Raw genomic sequence first — 26,418 nt, 5'->3', positions numbered from 1 at the left:
AAAACCCACCCAAAATGATGGTGCTCCTCGGCCACAGTCCTATCACTTTCATTTGTTTTAACATTTTCTTTCCTTTTTTCCTTCATATAGCAAAAAAACAAAAAGCAACAAAAAACTATCAATGTATTCAAGCCATAGGAACAATAATGGAAATATATATATATACACACACACATATATATACATATACACATATATATACATATATACACACATATATACATATACATACATATATACATATATGTGTGTGTGTGTGTATATATATAGAGAGAGAAAGAGAGAAAGAGATATGGAGTCTTGCTCTGTCACCCAGGCTGGCCTGCAGTGGCACGATCTCAGCTAACTGCAACCTCTGCTTCCCAGGTACAAGCAATTCTCCTGGCTCAGGCTCCTGTGTAGCTGAGACTACAGGTGCACACCACCATGCCGGCTAATTTTTGTATTTTTAGTAGAGATAGGGTTTCACCATATTTGTCAGGCTGGCCTTGAACTCCTGACCTCAGGTGATCCACCCATCTTGGCCTCCCAAAGTGCTGGGATTACAGGCATGAGCCACCGCGCCCAGCCAGAAAATAATTTAATTTTATTCCTATCAGCTGATATCTATTTTTTACTTGTATTATCTCACCATCTCCACCACCAATAAGGCTGTGACATAAGACAGACTAATTGGAAATAATTTGCATAGTCATCTATTTCTGGAACTCCTTAATTCATACCAGTAAATGAGAGCCTACATCACCTATGCCGAAACCTCTCCTTGACAAAAAGCCCAAATGGATGAGAATTAAATTGTATTCCTTTATATAGAAGACTGGTCAAACATTAATCAGTAGTGAATCCATCACTCATCTGTTCTCATAAAAGACTTAAATGCAAAAAAAAAAAATTGTACTAGGCTGAAAGCTCATGAAATGGAGGACTCAACATTCACCATTATATTAGGAACATAGCATGTTCTTATTAAAAGTTGGAGCAATTTAATGTAGGAATTCAATAATTACTTGATCAATTATAGGGTTAGTCAATGAGAGTGCTAGGCAATAAGGGAGACACATGATTTAAAAATCACACAAAACAATATTCTACAAATATTTATGGAACACCTGTTACATGCTAGGCACAGTGCAGGGAACCAAACTTCTTACCCCTAGGGAGCCTCCACTCCAGCAGGACAGCATATACAAAGTTACATTAATGATATATCCTGAGGAACTCTGGGAAATCTTCCATGATCAATAAATCACTCTATAAATCATAACTTGGCTAAGAATGGCTACAGTCCTGGTTTCTGGGGAAATCTTATAAAGCCCCAAGTGTTAAGGCAAAACAAAGAAAATCTGTTATATTCCCTAAATGAATATAGCATCTCTGTTGACTACTGGAACCTATTAAATGTGTTGTTTAGAGTGATTTCCTGCACATAAAATGTAAAAGCTTTCCTGAACCTAAACAAATATCACCAACAGTTGAAGGAAAAATGTTACCTTTTGAAATTTCATAAAATGAATTACTGAAACTGAGGAAATGCCTCAGTACCTTAAACAACTACACATGACCACTAAAAACTGTCTAACACTTAGCTCTCCTGGCTTTTTCTGTTTCAAGATGCAGCAAATTTTGTGGGCAAGCAGAGCACTCAACTAATACATAACTGGTCTGTGCAGAAAGTACTTCCCAGCTGGAAAGAAAACACATGCCAAAAATCAATAATTATCAAATAAGAATTTAGAAAAAAAGTCTAAAAGTATATAGAAAAACATTTGTGCCAACTATCCTACATGGTTAGATTATGGGTAAAAACTATCTTATTCTTCACATTTCTGTATTTTTCTATAATATAAATACTCAGAAAAAACGATCCATGCTTTATGATCTAAGAATTTTCACAGTAAAATAAAATGTTATCCTATTTCTTAAATGCTGAGACTGTAACACTGAAAGTACTTAAAGGAAAAATTATTTAATGCATCAAAAGATAGAAGTAAAAGCTCAGTTTTCTGCTTTGTAAACTATCTTTTCCCTAAGTGATAAAATATGGGGTAATTTTAAATGCATTTTTTCTTATCTGTATTTTCTAGTTTTTCTAAAATGACCACCTACATGATCAATTTAAATATTGTTTAAATTATTTTCTACAGGCCCAGTGCGGTGGCTCACACCTGTAATCCCACCACTTTGGGGGGCAGAGGTAGGCGGATCACGAGGTCAGGAGATCAAAACCATGGTGAAACCCCATCTCTACTAAAAATACAAAAAATTAGCCGGGCGCGGTGGTGGACGCGGTGGCGGACGCCTATAGTCCCAGCTACTCAGGAGGCTGAGGCAGGAGAACGGCGTGAACCTGGGAGGCGGAGCTTGCAGCGAGCCGAGATCGCGCCACTGCACTCCAGCCTGGGTGACAGAGCCAGACTCCATCTCAAAAAAAAAAAAAAATTATTTTCTACAAAGACCAAGTAGTCATATTAAAATATTATAAATTCTATTTTTTTACTCAAAAGATAGACCACAATAATAGGGATACACATATCAGTTTATTCTCCAAAATAATTACTGGGAATGCCTCCAGGTTAGAATTACTTCCCTCTTCAAAAGGATCCAAAGAAGTTCAGAAAGGTCAAAATGTACAAACTCTTCTGAAATTGGCTATTTCAACTGAATACACAGGTGCCAGGCCCTCTGCCTTTCCTACTTTGCAAGCAGATCAGCACCAAATCTGATGAGTCAGGAAGATGAGATGGCAACAAGGAGAAAATGGAACAGCAAGGTGGCTTGGTTTTTAAAACCCTATCATATGTCATTCACTGAAAGATTAAAGGGTTTCCTGATGATGGAAAAGCAACTAAACCAGGGGCCACCTAACTCTTTTATGACAGGTTTTTAAAACACATCTTAAGATGAGCTTTTTGCTCCTTCGGTCCTGAATGCCATTTCCCAATAATTGAATGATAGCTTTTAAAGTCAGAGAACAATTTGCCACATCTCTGAATCCCTTTATGTACAAGGCCAGGTTTCATCAACCCCCTTCTCCCCAAACAACTTGAAATATATGACTGTGTTGTGAGGTTAAGGTCAGCAGGCAGGGTTACAAACACAGGCAGGATGATTTCTAGAGCAGCAACCAAAAAGCAAGATCTTTGCAACCTCAAGAGTCATTTAGACTATACTGAGAAGAAGCATGAGTTTGGTTACCCTTAGGTATAAGACAATGGAACCTGGGGGTTACAGGAGGATGTAGATTTAGGACCACAATAAAAAAACAGGAAAAAGAGAACAACGTGATAGCCACAACCTCAGAAACTTCTACCTACAGAAAGCACTTCCCTCACCAACCAGTTGCATGATTTTGTTTTGTGGCAATTCTCTCAATGGCCAGCTAGACATATTTTTTCAGCCTTCATGTTGAAGGCTCCTGTGACCAACACCTGTCTCGATTATCTTCGGCTGACCCTTGAAGATGGGAGAGTGAGATTCCCCAATATTAACGTATCCCAAGACGACAATGCTTTCTGCCAGACTCACATTGGGTATGGAAGCCTTTAAATACCCAGCGTTTCTTTTAATCAGTTATACTGCTTTTGCACTCATTTTACAAAGCCATCTGGCTTTGCAGACATTAATACAAGGACTATGAAAAACCCCACTTTTTATTGTGGCCCCACAATGGGGAGCAATCCGCTTCAAAGTGTGTTGAGCTCACAGGATTCTGGTGCTGAAATAGATCGCTCAGATTTTATTGTTCAGGCTTCCAAGGAGCCTGGCCATCTAGGAGATAAAAGAATTCTTCTGAAAGCACCATGTAAAAGAAAATATTTGTTCAGTCACAGTGTCCCTAACAAATGTGATCTTATGCTCCACGGTTGGATGCCCGAGAAGATGAAAATGAAGGGGTCTTAACAGATACAGTGGAGACCTGGTCAGATAAATTGGAGGTTGGGGAACATGTGCCGCCCTAAATTGGAGAATGCTGAGGTGCTCTCCTTTCTGTGAATATCCTACTCATTCTTACAAAATGTTCCACACCTCAGGATGGCATTAAGTAGAAATCCTTTGACTTTTTTTTCACTACTGAATTCAACTGCAATTATATTTAAAATATCCTTATTTTCCATTACTTTGACAGCTTCACTTTTGAAGTTTTCTATTCATACATCTCAAGAGTCCTATCCCTTTCTAAGCAATAGTAAGCTGGCCTTTAACAAAGGCAATACTAGAAGAGACAGTATTTTTTTTGCAAGTAGTTATTTCATTCATTACAATTTTTGTCATTTTTAGCAGAAATGACAGCAGAAAACGGAGAAGAGGTTGACATTTAAACATTTAGATGTACACAAGTATTGTGGGGATTCATAACTAGGGACCAAATTCAATGTGTCGCTTTAAAAGATAGTCCTTTGACATGAGTTAACCTGGAAGTTACATGCAGCTGGCAGTACATGTCACCAGCTCACAATAGGTTCCCAAAGGAAAGAGGCTATTTCTCTTTAAGGCACAGAGAATAAGGGTCACTGACTCCTGACCCAATGGCTTCATCCCAATAAATGGAGCAGTCTCAACTCATCTCTTAATAGGAAGAAGACATGATAGCAGGGAAGACGAGCACTCAGGTAACAATTACAGCAGATTTACAATTTCCACAGCGAGCCCAGAAACAGAGTGGATCCATACTCCAAAAGAACTGCATCTTCTCTTAGGATGCTACACTTTCCCACTGATAGAGCCATTTAAAATTTCAGCAATATGGAAGTCCCGCATAGGAACTGAATCTGTTGTGTCAGTAATCTGCTACCTCCTGTGTGTAGGAGGCTTAACATAGTCTAGCAGTGGACTAAGGCAAAATAAAGATGGAAGACTGGTGGCATTTCATTTTGAGACAATCTAAGATGGTACCATCTTACCAAATACATGAAAGTAATATTGAATAAAGGCAGCATTTTCACAAGAAGATAATATTATTTAATTAGAACGTTACATGAAGTTACATTTTATCTTGGCCATTTGTATGCAAACTTTACAAGTCTTACATTGATAATTAATGCATGCAAAACATTGATCTTGATTCATATTTTTCTTTTGAGATGGGTCCCATTCTGTCACTCAGGCTGAAGTGCAGTGGAATGATCTAGGATCACCGCAACCTTCACCTCCCAGGCTCAAGCCATCCTCCCACCTCAGCCTCCTGAGTAGCTGGGATTACAGGCGTGCGCCACCATACCGGCTAATTTTTGTATTTTTTTTAGTAGAGATGAGGTTTCACCATGTTGGCCAGGCTGGTCTCGAATTCCTAAGCTCAAGTGATCTGCCTGACTCGGCCTTCCAAAGTGCTGGGATTTCAGGTGTGAGCCACCATGCCTGGCCGCAGTTTTAATCTTTAGTTGTACTATTTTTTCATCTTTTACAATGTCACATAAGGGTTTTATTTCAGTTTGATATAAATTAAGAATGCCTCTGGACGAAGGTGGGCTGCAGTTTACCTCACCTCATTAGGTCCAGGAGTGATGTCCCCGGCCTTTATGGAGTACCGCTTTGAACATGAGGCCTGAAATATTTTTGGAGGTATATTATTGTTTTCTAGTCAGCACAGAATACTCATTTGCTTAGTACCCTTATGTCAGACTTAGGGGCTCTAACATAACCTTAGTTGATTCATTTAAATCAACACACATGATTTTTTTAACCCAATGTTGCAGTTTTAGGGCAACCCCCCTGCCACCTGACCTTATTCTTTAAGTCATGTGAACATTGCTTTATTATTCTAGTGCATCCCAACTTATCACTTTGTACCCTCTAATCGTAAGTGGCTTTTTGGGCATCTTGGTCCACTGCAGCCGCTGTGATTTTTCTGGCTTTGGGAATAATAAACTCCACAGTCACAGCACTGTCTGGGCACTCCAATCCTCACTCCAACCCCCAGGCTTTCTGGTTGTTTATGTTTATGTGTTTCACAAAAACAGAAAAGTTCTCTATTCTAATGACTCTATCTTCCAGAGTCATTAGAAATTAGGCAGCCCTGGAACAAATTCAAGGGTTAAATATAAGTATTATAAAAGAAACATTTTCACACCTGTAATCCCAGTACTTTGGGAGGCTGAGGTGGGCGGATCTCCTGAGGTAGGGAGTTCGAGGCCAGCCTGACCAACACGGAGAAACCCTGTCTCTAATAAAAACACAAAACTTAGTCAGGCATGGTGGCGCATGCCTGTAATCCCAGCTACTCGGGAGGCTGAGGCAAGGGAATCCCTTGAACCTGGAAGGCGGAGGTTGTGGTGAGCTGAGATCACACATTCAATGTTTCAGTGTAGGTATTATAAGAGAAACATATTAATAACACTTAAATGCAAGTATTATAAAAGAAACAAGTGTTAATCTTATGATACCTGTTATTTATTGATTTTTACGGTTTTTAAATCTGATTCTACTTGTATTTTAAAACAATTTTACCTTAAAATTAACAATGTGGAATTTACACAGATACACATAATTATATTTAAAATATACTCTAATTTTTTATATTTATCTTTATCAACTCTGTCAATTTTGATAATGATTCAAACGAGAGTAGGGAAACACAATTTGAGTTGACCAAAATGCAGCTTATTTGAAAATACTGGAAACACAATATGCCTTTTATTTAGCATAGTTTGTATCATTTGTCACCTCTGAATATATCACGATTGACTCTTGGCTTTTGAGAGGTTCAACTTGTTAAAATGGCTTATAATTACTTTCCTCTTTGCTACTTAAATTTTCACTACTAGCCAGCAGAAGTTACCTCAATTTGGTTCATCTGCTCAACTTCCACACATCATTAAAAGCATCCTTGTTCATTAGAAAGAGAGAGAGAGAGAGAGAGAAAGAAGGAAGGAAGGAAGGAAGGAAGGAAGGAAGGAAGGAAGGAAGGAAGGAAGGAAGGAAGGAAGGAAGGAAGGAAGGAGAGAGAAAAATAGAGAAAGAGAGCGAAAGAGTTCCAAAAAAAGAAAATGTTCCAACAAAATTCTGCCTATTTCAATCATGACATCCAGTTATGTTCCAAAAACAGTCCTGGTGACCTTTAGTGGAGAATAATATTAGAGACCAAAATCAGGGTAAATAAAGTGCCTATTAGTTTTTTATATGAGTACTAGAGAAGGTAACTGTTTATCACCTTTTTCTCTTTTTTTTTTTTTTTTTTTCTGTGACGGAGTCTTGCTCTGTTGCCCAGGCTGGAGTGCAGTGACGATCTCAGCTCACTGCAACCTCTGCCTCGTGGGTTCAAGCGATTCTCCTGCCTCAGCCTCCCAAGTAGCTGAGATTACAGGCGTGTGCCACCATGCCTGGCTAGTTTTTTGTATTTTTAGTAGAGATGGGGTTCAACATGTTGGCCAGGCTGGTCACAAATTCCTGACCTTAAGTGATCTGCCCACCTTGGCCTCCCAAAGTTCTGGGATTACAGGTGTGAGCCACCATGCCCGGCCTGTTTATTACCTTCTTTAGAATGAGATGGCAAATTGTTTTGATTTAGTAAAGATGATAAGTTCATATGGAAGGTTTCAGTTTAACTCTAAGTTGACTATCCTTTTTTGGTCTTAATGCAAGTAACTTAATTTCCCCTTCTTTTCTTAATTATCATCTTTAATATTCATATACATGCAAGAAAGTGCCATATCAATTTATGTGAATTATACGACTATTAAAATTAGAAGGAATCTCAAATTTGTGTGTGTGTGTGTGTGTGTGTGTGTGTGTGTGTGTGTTGAGAGTCTCGCTCTGTCACCCAGGCTGGAGTGCAGTGGTGTGATCTTGGCTCACTGCAACCTCCGCCTCCCAGATTTAAGTAATTCTCCCATCTCAGCCTCCCAAGTAGCTGGGATTACAGGCACGTGCCACCATGCCCAGCTAATTTTTGTATTTTTAATAGAGACAGGGTTTCGCCATGTTGGCCAAGCTGGTCAAGAACAAAATCTCAATTTTTAAAACAATTTTATCTAAGTATATCATTAATATATATACCATTCATTATATATATCATTCAATAATATATACCAATCATTTCACCATTTTATTTTTGGCTACAGAATAAACTAATAATTTTTTCTACTTAATCAAGTAAACATAGGTAGAACCTACATGAGGATGTCCTTCTACTTCCATAAGTAAAATAGAGACCTCACATTTGTTTGTCTTTATTTGTAAGCTAAAATTACCATTATTTTTATCCCAGTTTTAGTATTTAGCTCCACTATTTCAGATGCCTTTAGAAAAACACAACGTATTTATTACTTTAGTATTATACCAGCTAATGAATTCCAAAAAGCAATTAAGAATGTCAGTAAAAACAATTAAGTTAATGTCAATATACAGTATAAATTAAAAGTTAAGAATGGCCAAAAGCATATCAAATACTCGAAAACTTTATCCAGTTTCAAGTGTGACAATTTCTAAAGTCCACGTAATATTCAACATTAAGCTTAAAAAGAATTAAGTCACAAAAGATTCCAAAGTACATGGTGTATTGTGCACTTCAGTTATAGTTCTTTGTTCACATCATATTTACAAATCTCTCAACCAATCCAGATATGGGTATACTTCATAATTTGGTACATAAACAGACATGCAAACTAAAAACTTACATTCATTGAAAACTTTAACCCCTTAAGCTTTAATGCAATAATATAATTATCAGATAATTAAAAAGTCATGGCTATATCCCAATATTTGCATCTTGGCATGATTGTACAATTATCACAGAGATAAAGTAAATCACTTTTAAAGAATTAAAACTGACAGAAGTAGTAACCTTTAGTTTCTCAGTAAATATTTTTCCAATTAGTGGCATCAGGTAAAGAGATCTCCACACTGAGAAATATTAAATTTTTGGTTCTACGTATTAAGTAGTGTTATATTACCTTTCATTTTAAAAGCATTTACGATAAAACGCCTTCAATTTTAAATTTTTAATTTAACCAGAACAATGTGGAAAAATAACTGGCTAAAAAAAGTCATGAAAGTGTAAAAGGAGAGTGAAGGAGGACTTACCAGAAATTATAAGTCACTAGAAAAGCCAGTGTATTCAAAACAGAATGGTGTTGGCACAGAAACAGACAGATAGGAGTAGAATAGAGAGTCCAGAAATAGTTCCAAATATATATGGCATCTTTATATGTGACAAGGACAACATTTCAATCCCATGAAAAATAAATTTTCTTGTATTAACTAGGACTTAAGTAACTGGTCATCCATCTAGGGAAAAAAAAAAAAAGAAAGAGAATCCTACCTCATCTCGTGTACAAAATTTTAAGTTGAAGATTGAATGTTTTTTTAAAAATAGTGAGAAAATTTAAGGGAATATCTGCATGACCTTGGGGTGGACAATACCACTCTGAGCAAAACAAATAATTCAGAAGCAATAAAGAAAAAGACATATTTGATTAAATAATAATTAACAATTTCATTTGGCAAAAGACATCATAAACAGATAAAAACTGCAAAGACATTTGCACACATACCACAACGGATTAATACTTTCACATAATAGTTTGTAGAAACTGAAAAAGAAAAACACTACTAAATGGAAAAATGGGCAGTGAAAATAAGCATGAAGTGAAGAAAAGAGAAATGTAAATGAAGAGTAAACATATGAAAATATACTCAACATCAGTGGTAGTGAAGGAAATGCAATTTAAAGTAATGACCAGGGGTAATAAGATTGGAAAGAATTAAGGGCAGTGACATCCAGTGCTGGTGAGAATGTAGAAAATGGGCATTCTTATGGGTGAAGGTGATTTTCTATTCTTTTGGGTAAAGTGATAGCTATTAAAATTAGAAATACACATACCGTTTGACCAAGCAATTCCACTTCTGGGAATCTATCCTATAGGAGAAAAAAGGACCAGTACGTAAGGATATAGGTAAAAAAATTGTTTATTGCAGCACTGTTTGTTGTGGGGAGGGGAGAAAGGGAGTACTGAAAACAACAAGAATGTCAGTTAATAGGAAAATGGTTAAATAAAATGTGGTATATCTATAATGTAGAACATAATATAATTATTAAAATAAATGGGATAAATTTGTATCCACTGACTTGGGAGACTGATAAGGTGACAAAAGAAAACTAAAGAGTGGGTGCTTAACATCTTGTTTAAGACAGGTAGTAGCAACAACTGCAACAAATCAATGTATGCAAATGTACCTACACCTGTATGCATATGAAGTGAAGAATGGAAGAATACACACCAGTCTAACAATGACTACCTAAGGTTGTGGATAGAGACAGGGATTGGAAGGGATGGAGATCATTTACCTCCTCTTTGTATAACTTTGTGCTGTTTCACTAGTTACTATGAGCACAATAGTAATTTCATAATTTTCAAAACTATGTTATTAACTTTTATAAATGGTAGTACAGTAGTATTTCTATACATTCATCTTCAGTAAAACAGTAGCAAATGAACAAACATTCTTTGCCTATGCCAGTCTCATCATTGTGTTCATTTGGGGCTACTTGCTTAATATCCATTCCATCTCTCTTTCCCCCCTGTGTATCAGCCATGTAGTTTGGGTGGAACTGACTACACTCCATTTCCAAGGACTCCTGAATGTTCTAAGCCATTGGTCTCCACCAGAAATACAATTCAGAGCCACTTATACAATTTAAAATTTTCTAGTAGTCGCATTAAAATTATTTTTAAAGAAACAGGTTAACATAATTTTCATAACATTTAACCCAATATACCCACAAATACTATCATTTCAGCATGCTATTAACATAAGAATTACTAATGAGATATTTCCATTCTTTTTCTGGATCTGTTTGGCCTAGCCGCATTGCAAGAGCTTGAGAGCCACATGTGGCTAGTGGCTGCTGCACTGGACAACGCAGGTCTAAGCTAATGATGGTAATGCTAGAAACACTCCCATGTTCAGGATTAAACACATAATTTAAAATGGTCCAATCGAAGAGAAACCCATAATGGTAGGAGAAGAAAATTTCGTCTTCTTCCATTAACTCTGGAAACCTCAGGCGGACACTAAGGGGTGAGCCAGGAAGGAAGCCTGCAGCCAGTGCAGGAGGACCTGTGTCCCTGAGACAGCAGTGAGCCTCAGGACTAGCCCCCCAGTGCAGGAGGACCTGTGTCCCCAAGACAGCACTGACCCTCGGGACCAGCGCCCGCGTGCAGCCTCAACTGTTTAGTTACACAACTGGCATTTTTTTCCTCCAATCACTTTGAGTTAGGTTTTCTATTACTTGTACTGAAAAGTACATTAATTGACAAACTCATCTATGGACAATGCCATGTCCAAAGAGAATAATTTTCTTAAGTACACTAGTTCAAATGCTAAAATTTTCTTCCAATTACTTTTAGTCAAGCTATTCTTTTTTTAAACTAGCTTTATTTGATAACCTTTTTAGAAATCTTCTGAAAACATCCCCAAAGAGGAGTCCCACAGACTAATTTCTTATCATCCAGGGAAACATCCCACAGTCACTATACAAGAGAACAAATATTTCTCCTCAGAAGAAAACATGAAATCTCACAGCAAACAATCAGCTCTCATTCCACTTGATTTTTTTTTTTTTTTTTTTTTTGAGACAAGAGTCTCACTCTGAAGCCCAGGCTGGAATGCAGTGGCACGATCTCAGCTCACTGCTACCTCCGCCTCCTGGGTTCAAATGATTCTCCCGCATCAGCCTCCTGAATAGCTGGGATTACAAGTGTGTGCCACCCCATGCCCGGCTAATTTTTGTATTTTTAGGTGAGACAGGGTCTCACCATGTTGACCAGGCTGGTCTCCAACTCCTGAACTCAGGGTGATCCACCCACCTCTGCCTCCCAAAGTGCTGGGATTACAGGCATAAGCCACCTCGCCGGGCCTCTACCTTCTTTTCTGATTCTCGATCTCTAGATCAGAGTTTCTCATCCTCAGCACTACTGATATTTTGGGCAGATAATTCTTTGGGGTTGTCTTGTTCACTGTAGGTGTTTAGCAGTATCCCTGACCTCTCTCCACTAGAAGACAGTGAGAGAAACCCTGGTCCCCAAATAGTTGTGACAACCAAAAAGGTCTCTAGATATTGTCAAATGTCATCTTTGGGGGTAAAATCACCCCCAGTTGAGACCCACTGTCCTAGATAAGCAATCAGTTCAAGTGTATAACTGACCTTCATTGTTGTATCAGACTCAGGCAATGTAGCAATCATTAAAGCATGATGTAACCCTCTGAGTCCCCTGCATCACAACATTTTGGACCCGTGGTTCTCTCCCCAGCCACTGAACCTCCTCTGGTCACACTCTTCCTCTTCTACCCCCTCTCTATGCTAAGCGTGAGCTCTCCATTATAGTTCTTTCTAGAAGAAATGTGGCTAGTTCCTTCTGACTTCAGCTTCAAATCATTACTTGAGCTACTCCCTGAACCACCCACCCAACTACGTCCCTTGCACTTCTCTGAGGGGCTTTTTGGACAAAGTATTTGCTCATTTATGATCACTCATTCCTCCACTCAATCTCCCCAGCCTGGTCCTTCTTCTCTATCAGCACACCCTGGGGGCCATTCCATCCCATCTTTCCACACTGTATCAGCTTACACATTGTCCTCTTTAATCCATCTCTTAGACTAGAATTTCAGTATAAGTACTGGTCAACTTTTCATAGCTTCTCAGATTGATCTATGGATTCAATATGATTTCAATAAAAATATCAACAGGCTTTTTTTTTTGTAGAAGCTGACAAACTGATCCTACAATTAAGGCAACTAGAACAGCCAAAACAACTTTGAAAAAAGATGAACAAAGTTGGAATACTAATGCTTCTGAGATCAAGACTTATTATAAAGCTATAATAATCAAGACAGTAGATTGATGTAAAGACAAATCAATGAAATAGAAAGTCTGTAAATGGAAACACAAATACACAGACAACTAATTTTTGACAAAAGTTCAAAGCATTTCAGAGGAGAAAGAAATAGCCTGTTCAACAAATGGTGCGGGAACGATTAGAGACGTGTATGCAGAAATGAACTTCAATCCATATCTCACCCTCCATGTATAAAAATCAACTAACATTAATCATAGACCTAAATGTACAATCTAAAACTACAAAACTTCTGGAAGAAAACATATGAGAAAACCTTTGTGACTTTGGATTAGGGAAAGACGGCTTAGCTCCAATACCAAAAGCATTTAAAGAACGAATTAATAAAGCTTTTGCTCTTCAATAGATGCTATAAAGAGAATAAAAACACAAGCCACAGGCTGGGAGAAAACATTTACAGATCACATATATCAGGTTTATTTATAATGGTCAAAAGCTATAAACAACCCAAATGTCCAGTGGCAAGAGACTAATGAAACTGACACAGTCATTCAATAGGATATTACTTAGCAAAACAACTCTAATAAATGATTGACATATGCTATGACATGGACGAATCTCAAAATAATTATGCTGAGTGAGAAGCCAGGCCTAAAAGAAGGGTGCATATAATATTACTCTAGTTATGTAAAGTTTTTAAAAAATGTAAACTAATTTTTAGGGATGGAAAGCATTGGTAGTTGTCTGGTTGGGGATGTGGGGGTGGGGGAGCAATGACAAAGGGGCAGGAGAAAACTTCTGGGGGAGATGGGTATTTTATTATCTCAACTGTGCTGGTGGTTTCACGAGCGTATACACATATCAACTTATGAAATTGTGCACTTTAAATTATGTACAGTTTATTGTATGCCAATTATGTCTCAATAATACTTTTTTAAGAGAGAAATGCAATGCTAGCTATTGGGGAAACCTCACTACTATACCATGTAGGAACAGCTGAAACTGGTTCATGCTACTTGGGAATCCATGAAAAGAAGCAGTTTTAGAGGTTTTGTTTTGTGGTTTTGAATTCCTCTGTGGGTTAACACAAACAGAATTCACAATTCTTGGTTACATGAACATAATACAGCCTAGATGATATTAAATAGTAGATGTGGTGTGTGTTGGGAGGGAAAGACTTAGACCCTTATGAAAACCAATTTGAAGTCTCTTTGTTTTAATTCTCCTTTTAAGTGCCTCCCAAGACAATCACCACCATCATCTTAAAGGTATGACCAACCAACATCTTTCAGCAAAACAAAAAAAGAGAAAAAAAATAGAATAAACATAAGTGGCCTGAATTCTCAAAGATAATAATTAAGTAATATGCTTTTAACCAGGTGTTTGATGGCATTTCTCCCCATGATTCTATCAAATTCAACTACATCTATATACATATTGGTAGTACCTTAGAAATCCACCTTAAAAAGCCACCACTATTCCTCTAAGACATGAAAACTGTGTACTGATCTATTAATTTCATTCCAGTGTATGATGTCAAGTGCATTTTAAAAATATACTTCATTGCTTCCAAGTGCTTCTTTAATCCACAAGGACTGGTTTTAGCATTTAAGTTAATTTATTCTAGACATAAGAAAAACCTTCTGCTTATTCTTGCAGATAATTGATTCTTGATTTGTTAAGATACTAAACACTATGGTTTATATGCTTAAATACAAACCCCCTGGTAAACCCACTCATGTGCCCCATGCAAAGCAAACTTGAATGTTTATTGCCTAGGGAGAGAGGCCAAAAGGAGCTGAGAAAAGGAGCAAAACTCTCCCTCACTTTGTCCTGCTGCTAGTCCAGTGGGAAGGTCCCACTCTCCCTGCAATTAACATTACCACTTGTTCCACAGCAGCCACATATGGAAGGCACACAGTACCAATTTCTCAAATCAAATGCCCTGCTCAATTTCCTAAAAATAAAATAAATCTAGAAGATACTCTCTGCCTCAAAGCTGACCCCTCTAAGTAAAAGCATATACCACCACCCCCAATAACAATAAAAGACTGCATTGGAAAATCAGGGTTTAGGAAGAGTTAGGCACTCGACGCTAAAGTTACCAAAAGGTTAATCCCACTTATCTCTATGACACACCAAAAGTTAAAAATCATTTTTTCTGCACTATAAAGAGCATAAAGCATAAGCTAAATTAGCATTTTCTGATAAAGGACATCTTCACATAAACATCTATGAAATATGTAAATATTTCTTGAAAGATTATATTTCTATAATACACGTTTAAATTCATTCACTTATTTATTTTTTAGAGACAGGGTACCACTCTGTTGCCCAGGCTAAAGTGCAGTGGTATGATCACAGCTCAGTTACCTCAAACTCCTGGGTTCAAGCAATCCTCCAGCCTCAGCCTCCCTAGTAGCTAGGACTATAGATACATGCCACCATGCCTAGCTAATTTTTTTTTGCGGGGGGGGGGGGGGGGGTTGTTGTTGTTTGTTTGTTTGTAGAGACAGGGTCTCGTTATTTTGCCCAGGCTGGTTTCCAACTCCAGACCTCAAGCAATCCCCCTGTCTTGGCCTCTCCAAGTGCTGGCATTATAGGAGTAAGCAACTGCATCCAGCCTGAACTTATTATTAGAGTTTGCAATCTAAAAAAAGTTTTAAATATGTCTGTCTATGCTAGGTCAGGTTCCTGCCACCATTTGCATGTGATTCCACATGCAAATCAAACATATAGACTGTAGTCAGTAAAACTTTTTCCTCTCATGCAAATGTGTTCACAGAACTATCTGCAGAGAATTTCCTTACGGTGCTGGTCAAAAGTTATGTGAGTGATGCACGGGATGAAGCAGAGCTCACACGGCCACTGGGAGGAAGTATGCAGTTACTGGCATTTCCATGGGTTTGTCTCATGTTCCTGTACTTAAGCATGGGAAAGCCCTCAACATCATCCCAGAAGAGGTGACATCATAAAACAACTTATTAAAAGAAAACATGGGCTGGGTGCAGTGGCTCACGCCTGTAATCCCAACACTTTGGGAGGCCAATGTGGGCGGATCACAAAGTCAAGAGATTGAGACCATCCTGGCCAACATGGTGAAACCCTGTCTCTACTAAAAATACAAACATTAGCTGAGCATGGTGGCATGCGCCTGTAGTCCCAGCTACTTGGGAGGCTGAGGCAGGAGAATCGCCTGAAGGGAGGTGGAGACTGCAGTGAGCCAAGATTGCACCACTGCACTCCAGCCTGGTGACAGAGTGAGATTCCATCTCAAAAAAAAAAAAAAGAAAAAAAAAAAAAGAAAAAAAAAAACCACATGTGTATTCAGATGGAAAAAAAATGGCCCACCAAAATACTCAGAGGGTGAGGTCCCTAACTCAGAAAAGTAGAGAAAGAAACCCTGAAAACCATTTGGTGTGGTATTTTCCTGTAGTTACTTAGGTCTGATAGTCTATGGCCACATGGAGTAAAAGAAGAATTTAAATCTCAAGAGTCAAAATGGCAGAGGAGATGGCACAGATTCCAAGAAACACCAGGACACAAGAGAAGTCCTACCTCTCCACAGTTCCCTGTTAGAGCTACCAGGGCCCAACTTGCTACCACACAACCCGGGTAAAGAGAGAACAATACAGAATTCAGCTGCTCTGCTCACATGGGTAATTGGATAATGAATATATTTGGGGACTGCCAGTTACTGCAGCTGGGACCATTACACCACACCAGTGTGGCTGTCACTATTCTCTTTAGTCTGAGGTAAACTCAGCATCCTGGTAGTGCTGGGTGTGTGGCTGCAGGTTTCCCCTTCAGCTACTGTTAAGGGTATGCTTTTAAGGCAAGTTTGAGGCTTTGCTTTCCAAAATATTCAAAGAAACTATGACATACATGGTGAAGTCAAGCAAACTCTGTGAGGTCTACCCTTTATTGGGTCCATACTGTGGGTGTTGATGCTCACATTTTTTTATAAAACAAAACATACCTGTATTAGTCTGTTCTCATGCTCTAATAAAGACATACCCAAGACTGGGTAATTTATAAAGGAAAGAAGTTCAATAGACTCATAGGTCCACATGGCTCGAGAGTCCCAACAATCACGGCAAAAGGTGAAGGAGGAGCAAGTCATGTCTTACATGGTGGCAGGCAAGAGAGCTTGTGCAGAAGAACTCCCATTTATAAAACCATTAGATCTTGTGAGACTTATTCACCACCATGAGAATGGTGTGGGGGAAGCTATCTTCATCATTCAATTATCTCCACCTGGCCCTACCTTTGACGTGGGGATTTTTACAATTCAAGATGAGATTTGGGTGGAGACACAGCCAAACGCTATCAGTACCCACTCCCTTGTTGATATCTATGTTTCTAACCCAAGCATGTTGACCTCAAAAAGTAAAGGCTGCTTGCCAGTCCCTGGGAGTTAGGAACCCTAAATTTTGGTCATGGTTTGCAATCAACATATATACTCCCTGAGCACAAGCAAGCCTCAAATTCTCTGAGTCATTGGTTCCTTGTTTACGAAATAAAGATATTTTCAGTCAGACTTGTCTTAAGGCTTCTTCCAGCTCTGAAATTCTATGATTAAAATTTTCCATATAGACCACTATAATACACCGCATTATTCTATCAACATCTGTCAGTCCCAAAACACAATTTCAAGGAGTGTCCTGATTACCCTGCTGAGAAGAGATGGCTTAAATCTGATAGAGGGGCCACTGAGGACAGGGAGTGAGTTCCTTCACGGCCTAATAATACTGAGCCAGAACACATGTGTCATCTGTCTCCACAGCAATATAGAGAGCTCGTGTCCTTAGGGTTACCAACGCAGGGTACAAGTGAAAGATCTATCCAAGGACGTGGGGTCAACTGCCCCTTTCACACCTCTTCATGGAAATGGAACAGCCCCTGAGAAAATGCTACTCCAATGATCTGGCTTTAAGGGGACTTCCCCAGCCTACTTTGTGGTCTTTTGTCTAACTCAACAGGACAAAAATAAATGATCTGGGGGGAGAGAAAGAAGGGCATAATTCCCAATATATTTTATTTATTTAAGAAAACATACAGCACTTATTGTATGCCAGGTACTGTCATAAACACTTTACAAATATTAATTTAATCCTCTAAACAATTTGAGGACACAATAATATTCTCATTCTACTTTAGGAAACTAAGGCACATAGAGGTTAAGGTCATGCAGCTGGCTAAATGGCAGAGACAGGATTCAAACCTAGGCAGTGTGACTTCTGAGTCCAAGCTCCAAAATGCTACTCAGTGATTGATTGCCTATTGATTAACAGATGTGAGAAGGTGGCTTTTAGTGAGACAGCACAGACATCTGCCTCTCTCAATGGGTCACTCTAAATAAGCATTGCTGAAAAGGACTGCTCACTAAAAAACTTTCCCCCAATCCTACTTTATTCTGATTTGCTAAAAAGTTATTCCAGTAAATATGAAATAGGGAACTTCTGCCCCTGCTTTTAGCTATCCAAAAGCACACTTCACCACTACACACACCCCCCGAAACTCTAAGAACATTAATTCTCAACTGGGAATGGCATTTTAGATTCACCTTGAAAAGTGGTTAAAAGTACTCAAGCCTCTACCTTACCCTGCCCTCAATACACACTAGATTCTGATTTGCATTCCCAAGGGTGTTTGGCAATGCACATAGATTTTTATAAACCTCCCCACAGGTAACCTAACCCTCTCCCCTGGGACAAAACTAAGGTCTTCATATAATTTTCAAAGGTAAGAAGATCAATCCTACATTGTTTCTATACCCTAAATCTCTTCCCTACCCACTTCACAGAAGACAAATGCATGTGTGATAAGGAAAGCTGCAAATACGTGCCAAATACCAAACTGGCTATTCGATGAATACATAAATGCAATTGACATTCTTCCACAGTCTGAAATCCTCTCTTTACTCTCAGGATAGATTACACTATTCTCTTTTTATGTAAACATGCCACTTTAAATGCTAATTCAGATGCGACACTCGATTTTTTTCTTCGTTTTGTTTTTGGGTTTCTAACATTCAAAATGACACTGGACTTCCATGTGGCTTTGATAATAGATATTTTGAATTTTTGCTTCAATATTTGTGGGGGTGGGAGGACAGAAAATGCTAAGAAGAAAACTAAATTTATTTTAAAATTTATTCAAATATGGTTTACACATCCTTTATTTTGTTTGAATTAAACTCTTTCCCTCTCTTTCAGGAAACATTGCCTTTACTTTGCTGAAAATCTCACAAATGCAATTCAAGTAAGTTGAAAACCAAGGTGATTCCCTTTCCTTGCCTTCTAGAAATAATCTCATTTTACTCAAACTACTTTTCTAGACAGGCAGTCAAGGCAGTATTTTCTGATATATAACAGGCCTGAACCTAAGTCTTCTTTTTAAAAAATACACACACACACACACACACACACACACACACACACACACACACACACACGCATCAACCTATGCCCATTTCATTATATAGAAGCTCACTTCCTATCTTGTGTCAAAATCAGAAATTCCAATTTTAGAAATACCCTAATCCAATACACACAATTCAATATGATTGAGACAGGAGACAGCCAAGGGTCCCTGGCGAAATCCTACTTTCAAGCATAAAACAGCCTGGAGGCTGAAATACCGAACTGCTGATCCTGGATGAAGCCCACCCTTTCCCCACTGATTCTTTCTGAGTAATGCCCACCTGCACCCTGGGAGGATGAGGTAAAGCCTCGGGAAGTTTGCACCCTTTGCAATGGGGAGAAGCCTGGCCTCTTCTGTTCCTGTGTGGTGACCTGGGATTCTATCTGTGAAGTGGGAAACCTCCTAGCAGGACTCTCTCTCTCTCTCTCTCTCTCTCTCTCTCTCTCTCTCTCTCTCTCTCGCTTTGCTGAGAGTTATTTTTCCTTTTCACCAAGTAAATTCCATTTTCCCCACCCTTCTATATGTCCACAAGCTTAATCTTTCCTGGTCGTGTGATAAAAGCCGAGTTTTAGTTGAACTAAGGAAAAAGTTCTCCAACAAATACATCTACTATAAGACAAACTCTACCTCAGAAGTCTAGCAGGCCCAGCTCCTCCCAGAAGCTACCATCAAGTTCCCCTGCTTTGTAGTCCTAACTACTTTTTGACAATATTTTCTCCCTCTGTTGGTCACTCTCATCTTCCATCTCATCTCTGGACACCCTTTACTGTGCCTAACCAAGAAAGGCAAAATTAGAAAGTGGTAAAATAAGTTCATTATTCTTTTCATACATTTATTAATGTAGTCATATGGTAAAATGGTTCTCAATACCTGCTCAACTTTCTGCTAGCCTTGTTTCTTGCCACTTCACCAGAAGCATCCCATTAATGAATTGTCTTCTGCTGTGCTAAATTTAGTTTGGGCGACAACCTGCCCTGACCAAAGGTACATACATTTCAGTGAGGTACCAAAGACATCTCCAAGATCCAGCAGAATGAATTTCTAATACTGGAATGTTTGACATGTGGTAGATGTGTTTAAGATGGAAATCCCCTTTGCGGTCAGAGGGGATTGACCTCCTAGCAGACCTGAAACTATCAAATGCCAGTAGATAACTAGCCCACTTATTCCAAGGCCAGCCCTAATAGACTCCAACCACTCTCAGAGGAATAATGAAAGGGTGAATGGAGAAAAATCATAAAAACATGTCAACCAAATATAAAATTCTAAGTCCCCCATCTGACTGAACGAATCCCCCTTTTTCAGCCAATGGCATTCCAAAGTAAACCTGAAAAACTAGTTCAGGCCATGATAAGAAGAGAGGGTCAGACATGCCTCATGATACCCTCCTTCCCTTTGGAATTCAGCACAACCGACCAGCTGACGTTAAAACAGAGATCTTAAGACTGACAAAACAGGCTCTTTGTAGCATAAGAGACCAAATTCCAATGTGACTCTAGTGTAGCATCACATGACAGATAGCAGGCCCTGAAAGAAATTCAAGTACTTTACCCCAAAATATATTTTTGACACATTTTTAAATGGCTCTGCAAATCTGTCTCTTGTGGAGAAAAATCTACATTCTATAGAGAATCTCTTCCTTTTCCAGGACTTTTCCTGATTCAGGAGAGATTAAGAGTCTGATACCTTTTAAGGCCTGACAAGAGACATTTACCATCTATTCTACATAATAAGAACCCTAGTTTCCATAATCACTTATCTTAACCCAGACACTCCTTTCTACTGATTCCAGGTCTTAGATAATAACTCTTTCAACCAATTGCCAATATCAGAAAATCTTTGAATCCACCTATGATCTGTAAGCACCACCCACCCAGCTATCGCACCTTTCCAGACCAAACCAATGCATAATTTACATGTATCAATTGGTGTCTTATATTTCCTGAAAATGCATGATGCCAAGTGTAACCTGACCACCTTGGGCACATGTTCTGAGGACCTCTCAGGACCTCAGGCCTTGGTCGCTCATATTGAGCTAAGAGTAAATCCCTTCAAATATTTTACAGAGTTTGACTCTTTCATTGACAAACTCTATAATGAGGAATACTGTTACCAGCTGCTAGTATTGTTGCTAGATCAGTTAATTAAAATAAGCAAAACCTTTTAAATTGCCTCTGGGATAATTTGAATGCTCTCAGCAATCCCTCAGCATGCAGAGACATACTTTTCCAGGACTACTATACATACTGGGAGCTGCTTCTGCCTTGGGTTCCTGCTGCTGGATATCCCATTTTTTTTTTTTTTTTTTTTTTTTTTGAGACAGAGTTTCACTCTGTTGCCCAGGCTGGCGTGGGCGCGATCTCGGCTCACTGCAACCTCCACCTTCTGGGTGGAAGTGATTCTCCTGCCTCAGCCTCCAGAGTAGCTGGAATTACAGGCATGCGCCTCCAAGCCTGGTTAATTTTTGTATTTTTCAGTAGACATGGGGTTTTACCATGTTGGCTGGGCTGGTCCTGAACTCCTGACCTCAGATGATCCACCTGCCTTGGCCTCCCAAAGTGCTAGGATTACAGGCGTGAGCCACTGCGCCCGGCCTTGGATATTCCTTTAAAAGCATCCTTAAAGCATGTGTGTGGACATAAAGATGGGAACAATAAGACACCGGGGTCTACTAGGTCTATTAGTGCAGGGAGGCAAGGGGGAAAGGGCTGGAAAACTACTGTTTGGGTACTATATTCACTCACTACCTGGGTGTCAGGATCATTTTTACCCCAAACCTTAGTGTCATGCAATATACTCCTGTAGCAAATCTACACACGTACTTCCTGAACCTAAAAGTTGAAATTATTTTTCAAAAGAGTTGGAAAAATTTTTTAAATAAAAATAAATTTAAAACAGCTGTCACAATCAAATATCATAAACCAATCCATCAATCAAGCAAGCAAGCAATCAAGCAGGTGTGGCCAGAGAACTTAAAGCTAAGAAACTGCCAAGTGTCATTCACTGCTTCTACTAAAATGAAGTGATAATTGCAGATAATTTTATAGATCCCGGACCTACAAGGCCATGAAACAATGCACCACGGCTTATAATTAAACAAGGTGGAGGAAAGGTCATTTTAAGCAGCAGGGAGAATCTATTTGCTAAGAATACATAGTACAGTTTCCTTCTTCTCTATACGGAGACATCTGAAATACCACTTAAAAACAGGAGCTAGCCTGAGCCTATTTCCTGCTCCTCTCTCCAGGGTATAAACACCATCAAGGCACTCTAGGGAATTCCATGAAAAAAGAAGCCTCTCTGTCCTGGAGAGCTGTTTATTTAGGCAATTAACAAAACACAAAGGGGTCCTTTAAAAATAAATAGTGGCTGCCAGGGACACCTTGGTTTTGCTCCTAATCATCTTGGACTCACATCTTGGGCTTTTCCACTTTTTGCACCTTCCTTGCCTGAAAACAAACACTTCCCTGTGAATTTTTCCACTTACAAATGTAATTTCAGGACTTACATTCAAAATATGGGTGAAAAAAAGTACCACAACAATAATGGCACTTTCATAAATACAGACAGTACAAATTCGTTATTAGAAAAATCTAAATCAAACAACATGCAGAAGGTTGATGTGTTCCACACTGAATTGAAACCATGAAGGATCTGGCACCAGCCATCCAGCCATGGCATCACCACTTGTGCTCAGGGAGCAGGCACAGTGACAGAACCTAAGAGAACACGGCAGGTCCACTGCTTGGAGGCTCCCAATCTAGGAGGGGGAGACAGATTTGTACAGACTCCACAAATGTCCGCACTATGTAGTTATTATACTGGGCACCTTGCTGAACACAAAGAACAGGCATTCAGAGTCTCAACTCTTTGAGGGATAAAGTGGGATAAAAATCTAAGGCAACAAATCTAGTTCTGAAGCTAAGTGTAATAATATACCGTCATGAATGCTATTATCTCCTTTGCTTCATCCCCTGGCTTGAGGTAGTATATACTAAAACATTTCAAGATTATCACAATTTATCATCATAATTTTTTCTATGATGTTCTGGGAAGAACCAATTGGTGTCTGCCACTGTAGATATTGCAGTTATTGTCAAATCATATTTATTTGGAGCAATCTTCATTATGAGACAAAATTAACCAAATACACACACACACACACACACACACACACACAAACACAGGTGTGAGAATGTTTACATCATTGTTATTCAAATTACTTAAAAATCTACATAAATACTTGGTTAAAGCAATTTGAATCCTACTTCAAAACAATCACTGAGTATTTTACATAAAATATTTCAAGAATACCAAAAATATAGTGGCTATAATATAAACACCCATATACACACTATCACATTAATGATATACGTGAAACTCCTTGCAGAGGCCTCTCAAATCCAATGTCTTTCATTCTCTCCACTAGTAAGTGGCCTTTATCATAAACTTGCTTTCCATGCATGTTTTACACCTTTACTGTAAATGCCTGTATTCAGAAACAACATATTGTTTTGCATTTTTTAAGTTTTATAATATAAATGCCATCTTGTACCTGGAATTTGCTTTTAGCACTTGCTTATCATTTTATTCTTGGCAATTATACCTGCTGATAAGTATACTCTGGTTTGGTTACTTTACCTGCTGTATAATATTTCATTATCTGACTATATCACGATTTTGACAGGTAGCTGGAAGGAGGGGGATAGGACAATGTGATAACTTTAGTTCCAAGGAGAATGAGGGGGAAAGTACAGGAAGAATCTGGGGTCAGAAGAAGCCTTGGCAAATGGCTATTCGTTGAATGGAAAAAGAAGAGAAATAGCTAAAATCCAGCTGTCTAGGAAGCTGGAATGCCTCTGGAAAAGTGATCTGGAGTTACCTGACAATCTCATAACAGCATCTTGCCTAGAAAGCAGTTTCTCTCACTTCTCTTGTCTATTACCCAGTCACAATCACTGCTTCTGCACCTTTTAAAAATGTATATAAAACAAGAGAGTCTTCAAGTTAGTTCTCATTAAAATGATTGTAAATAATAAATTAGTGGGGATGTGAATTTCTTTTTCTAGACAGAATAGTTTGCTTTTTTATACTTTCAACTAATAACAAAAAAATTTCCTGTGGTCTTTCACTTCTGAAAGCTTTCAATTTAATGTATGTTTTTACCATGATTCTGGATATAAAAGTTACCTTTAAGCTTAGTTAAAGCAATATTCAAATTTTTCAAAAAAATTTGGAAAACCCCGTAAGTTTCAGAATGCTGAAAATGCAATTTTAAAGCTACTATCTTTCAAGACATACAATCTGAAGCAGCAGATATATCAAAATAGAGGGCTTTTCAGCCTTTATCAAGGTACACACTCTCTAACAAGTTGGATCACATTGCTGTATAACCAAAGACAATAAGAAATACATCACGCTATGTGCAGTTGCTTACTGTTAATATGGAACAACAACAAAAAGACTGAAAAGAACAGCAGAAGCAAACCCCAATCTTTCTGAGAGAAGATATAAAAAGATTTCAAAGCATTTATGGAGGAGGCATGTATGCAGTAAATAAACTAAGAGAGTGTTAACAGGTTTAATTCTCAGGTACTATTATGTTGGCTAACTGATACTAATAAAGATATATTTGTGCCTTTCTTCATTAGATTTGTATAAAATCACTCTAGCATTTATTTTAAAAAGTATTTTCCCTTTCTCAAAGTCATAAAAGAACCTTGCATGAGGAGAGTAATTACTGGCATTCTGTACAGTATTCACTAAAAATGCTGAGTGACACTGGGTTCTAGCACAGCTATATGAGGCATCATTAATTCTCTGGGGAATATTTGTGCTTAATAGAAAATACAAAATAGCATGTTTATTTTTGGTTTACCTCACTTGAAAGTATTAATTTTCCCAGAATTCACTAAAAAAGCAGATGTGTGTTCACATATACATATACAGTGTGCTTCATGCTCATCTTCTGAATGCTCAATTGACTTTTAATAGGGAGGGGAGTTTAAATGGCTCTGATGTAATTCAGACTTTCTCTTACTATGTTTCCAAAGGATAGGCTCCAAACAAACTTATGTCATTATTCTTTTTTCACTAAAGATCCCATTTTCTCAAATAAAGAAACTTAAATACTTTCCTTATCACATATTTTCACAACAAATCATGGCTATCAGCTAACATTAACAGAATTGACTTACTCAAGTGCAAAAGAGGAAATTACCCTTAAATAGAAATATGAAATCTAATTCTGTAATTAACATAATCTTTATAATATTGTTGGAAACACTAACATGATAAAACAAGAAACAAAAAACAAAACCCATGTGCAATCTATTAAAAAGGCTAAAAGCAAGATTTGACTGAAGTTCTGAAGTTTTCAAATAAAAAATAAAGGGTGCTTAAGCCTTAAATAAAAGTACAAAAAAATAAGATTTTTTTCTATAAAAGTATTTCATGTAGTTTTCTATTTTTCTTTTGTCTCATCATGATGGGAAATATCAAAAAGTTTGGACTTTTCCAAGTTTCGGCAACAGAGTCCTAATCATGATGCAGAAGAGGAAAGAGTTAATTCTAAGTCCATTTCCTACAGCAAACTATTTTCTGTTAAACTCTAGCACAGGGAGATGGAAGCTGAAAGCTAGTGACAATTTATCTGGGCACATTCTCCGAAAATAATAATCCAGTGTCTGCCTGGCAGCCTAAACTTGTACAAAAGACAGGAAGCAAAATGGACAGTAATGAAATGTTCACAGCTGATGAATTTTTGGTTCTTAGATGCAAAGGCTGAAATTTTCCAAAATTTAGCCTAGAATAAATCCTATATTTCAACAGTTGCCATATATTTTTCTAATCCTCCAAGAGGAGAGTTGCAAAAACTTATCTTAAATACTATTTTTTTTTAAAGGAGGTGCTCCATCTACTAACTTCTTCAACTTAAATCAGACATCAAATGTAAATGTTTCCAGACCAGCCCTTACACAGTACTATTGGATAACAAATTCGACCTTAATTGAGGGTAGTTAATTCTGTCCTCAATTTTATTCTGCAACTTGCTAACGGAAAAAATTATGATTTATGCAAATATATTATTGGCCTTAAAAATAAAAGAATAAAACACACTATAAAGAAATCAAGTCAAAGTTCATAAATCCATTATTTTAATACAAGGTCATTACATGAATCAGTTCAATAAGATCTAGAT

At 38.1% G+C, this 26,418-nt stretch overlaps 1 protein-coding gene across 16 annotated transcripts in view, besides 1 other annotated feature; it reads right to left on the bottom strand.

Moving 5' to 3' along the window:
- Positions 1-26,418, bottom strand: part of MAST4 (microtubule associated serine/threonine kinase family member 4) — a 573,201-nt gene that overhangs the window by 242,758 nt on the left and 304,025 nt on the right. For 8 of the 16 annotated variants that reach the window (XM_024446044.2, XM_047417157.1, XM_047417158.1 and 5 more), the window contains one exon: positions 9,818-9,853. The exons of the other annotated variants lie outside the window; for them this stretch is intronic. In XM_024446044.2, coding sequence (XP_024301812.1) covers positions 9,818-9,853 — 36 coding nt within the window. The remainder of the gene's footprint in view (positions 1-9,817; positions 9,854-26,418) is intronic. 16 annotated transcript variants of the gene reach the window in all.
- Positions 22,034-22,886: an enhancer, noted in NCBI's record as "OCT4-NANOG hESC enhancer chr5:66199778-66200630 (GRCh37/hg19 assembly coordinates)". NCBI's record gives its function as "activates a minimal SCP1, AML or CMV promoter by ChIP-STARR-seq in naive and primed H9 embryonic stem cells {active_cell/tissue: H9 hESC(naive and primed)}" and the evidence as "EXISTENCE:reporter gene assay evidence [ECO:0000049][PMID:30033119]".

This window comes from Homo sapiens, chromosome 5, assembly GCF_000001405.40.
Source record: "Homo sapiens chromosome 5, GRCh38.p14 Primary Assembly".
Taxonomy (NCBI): domain Eukaryota; kingdom Metazoa; phylum Chordata; class Mammalia; order Primates; family Hominidae; genus Homo; species Homo sapiens.
This window is presented reverse-complemented; position numbering and strand designations above follow the sequence as displayed.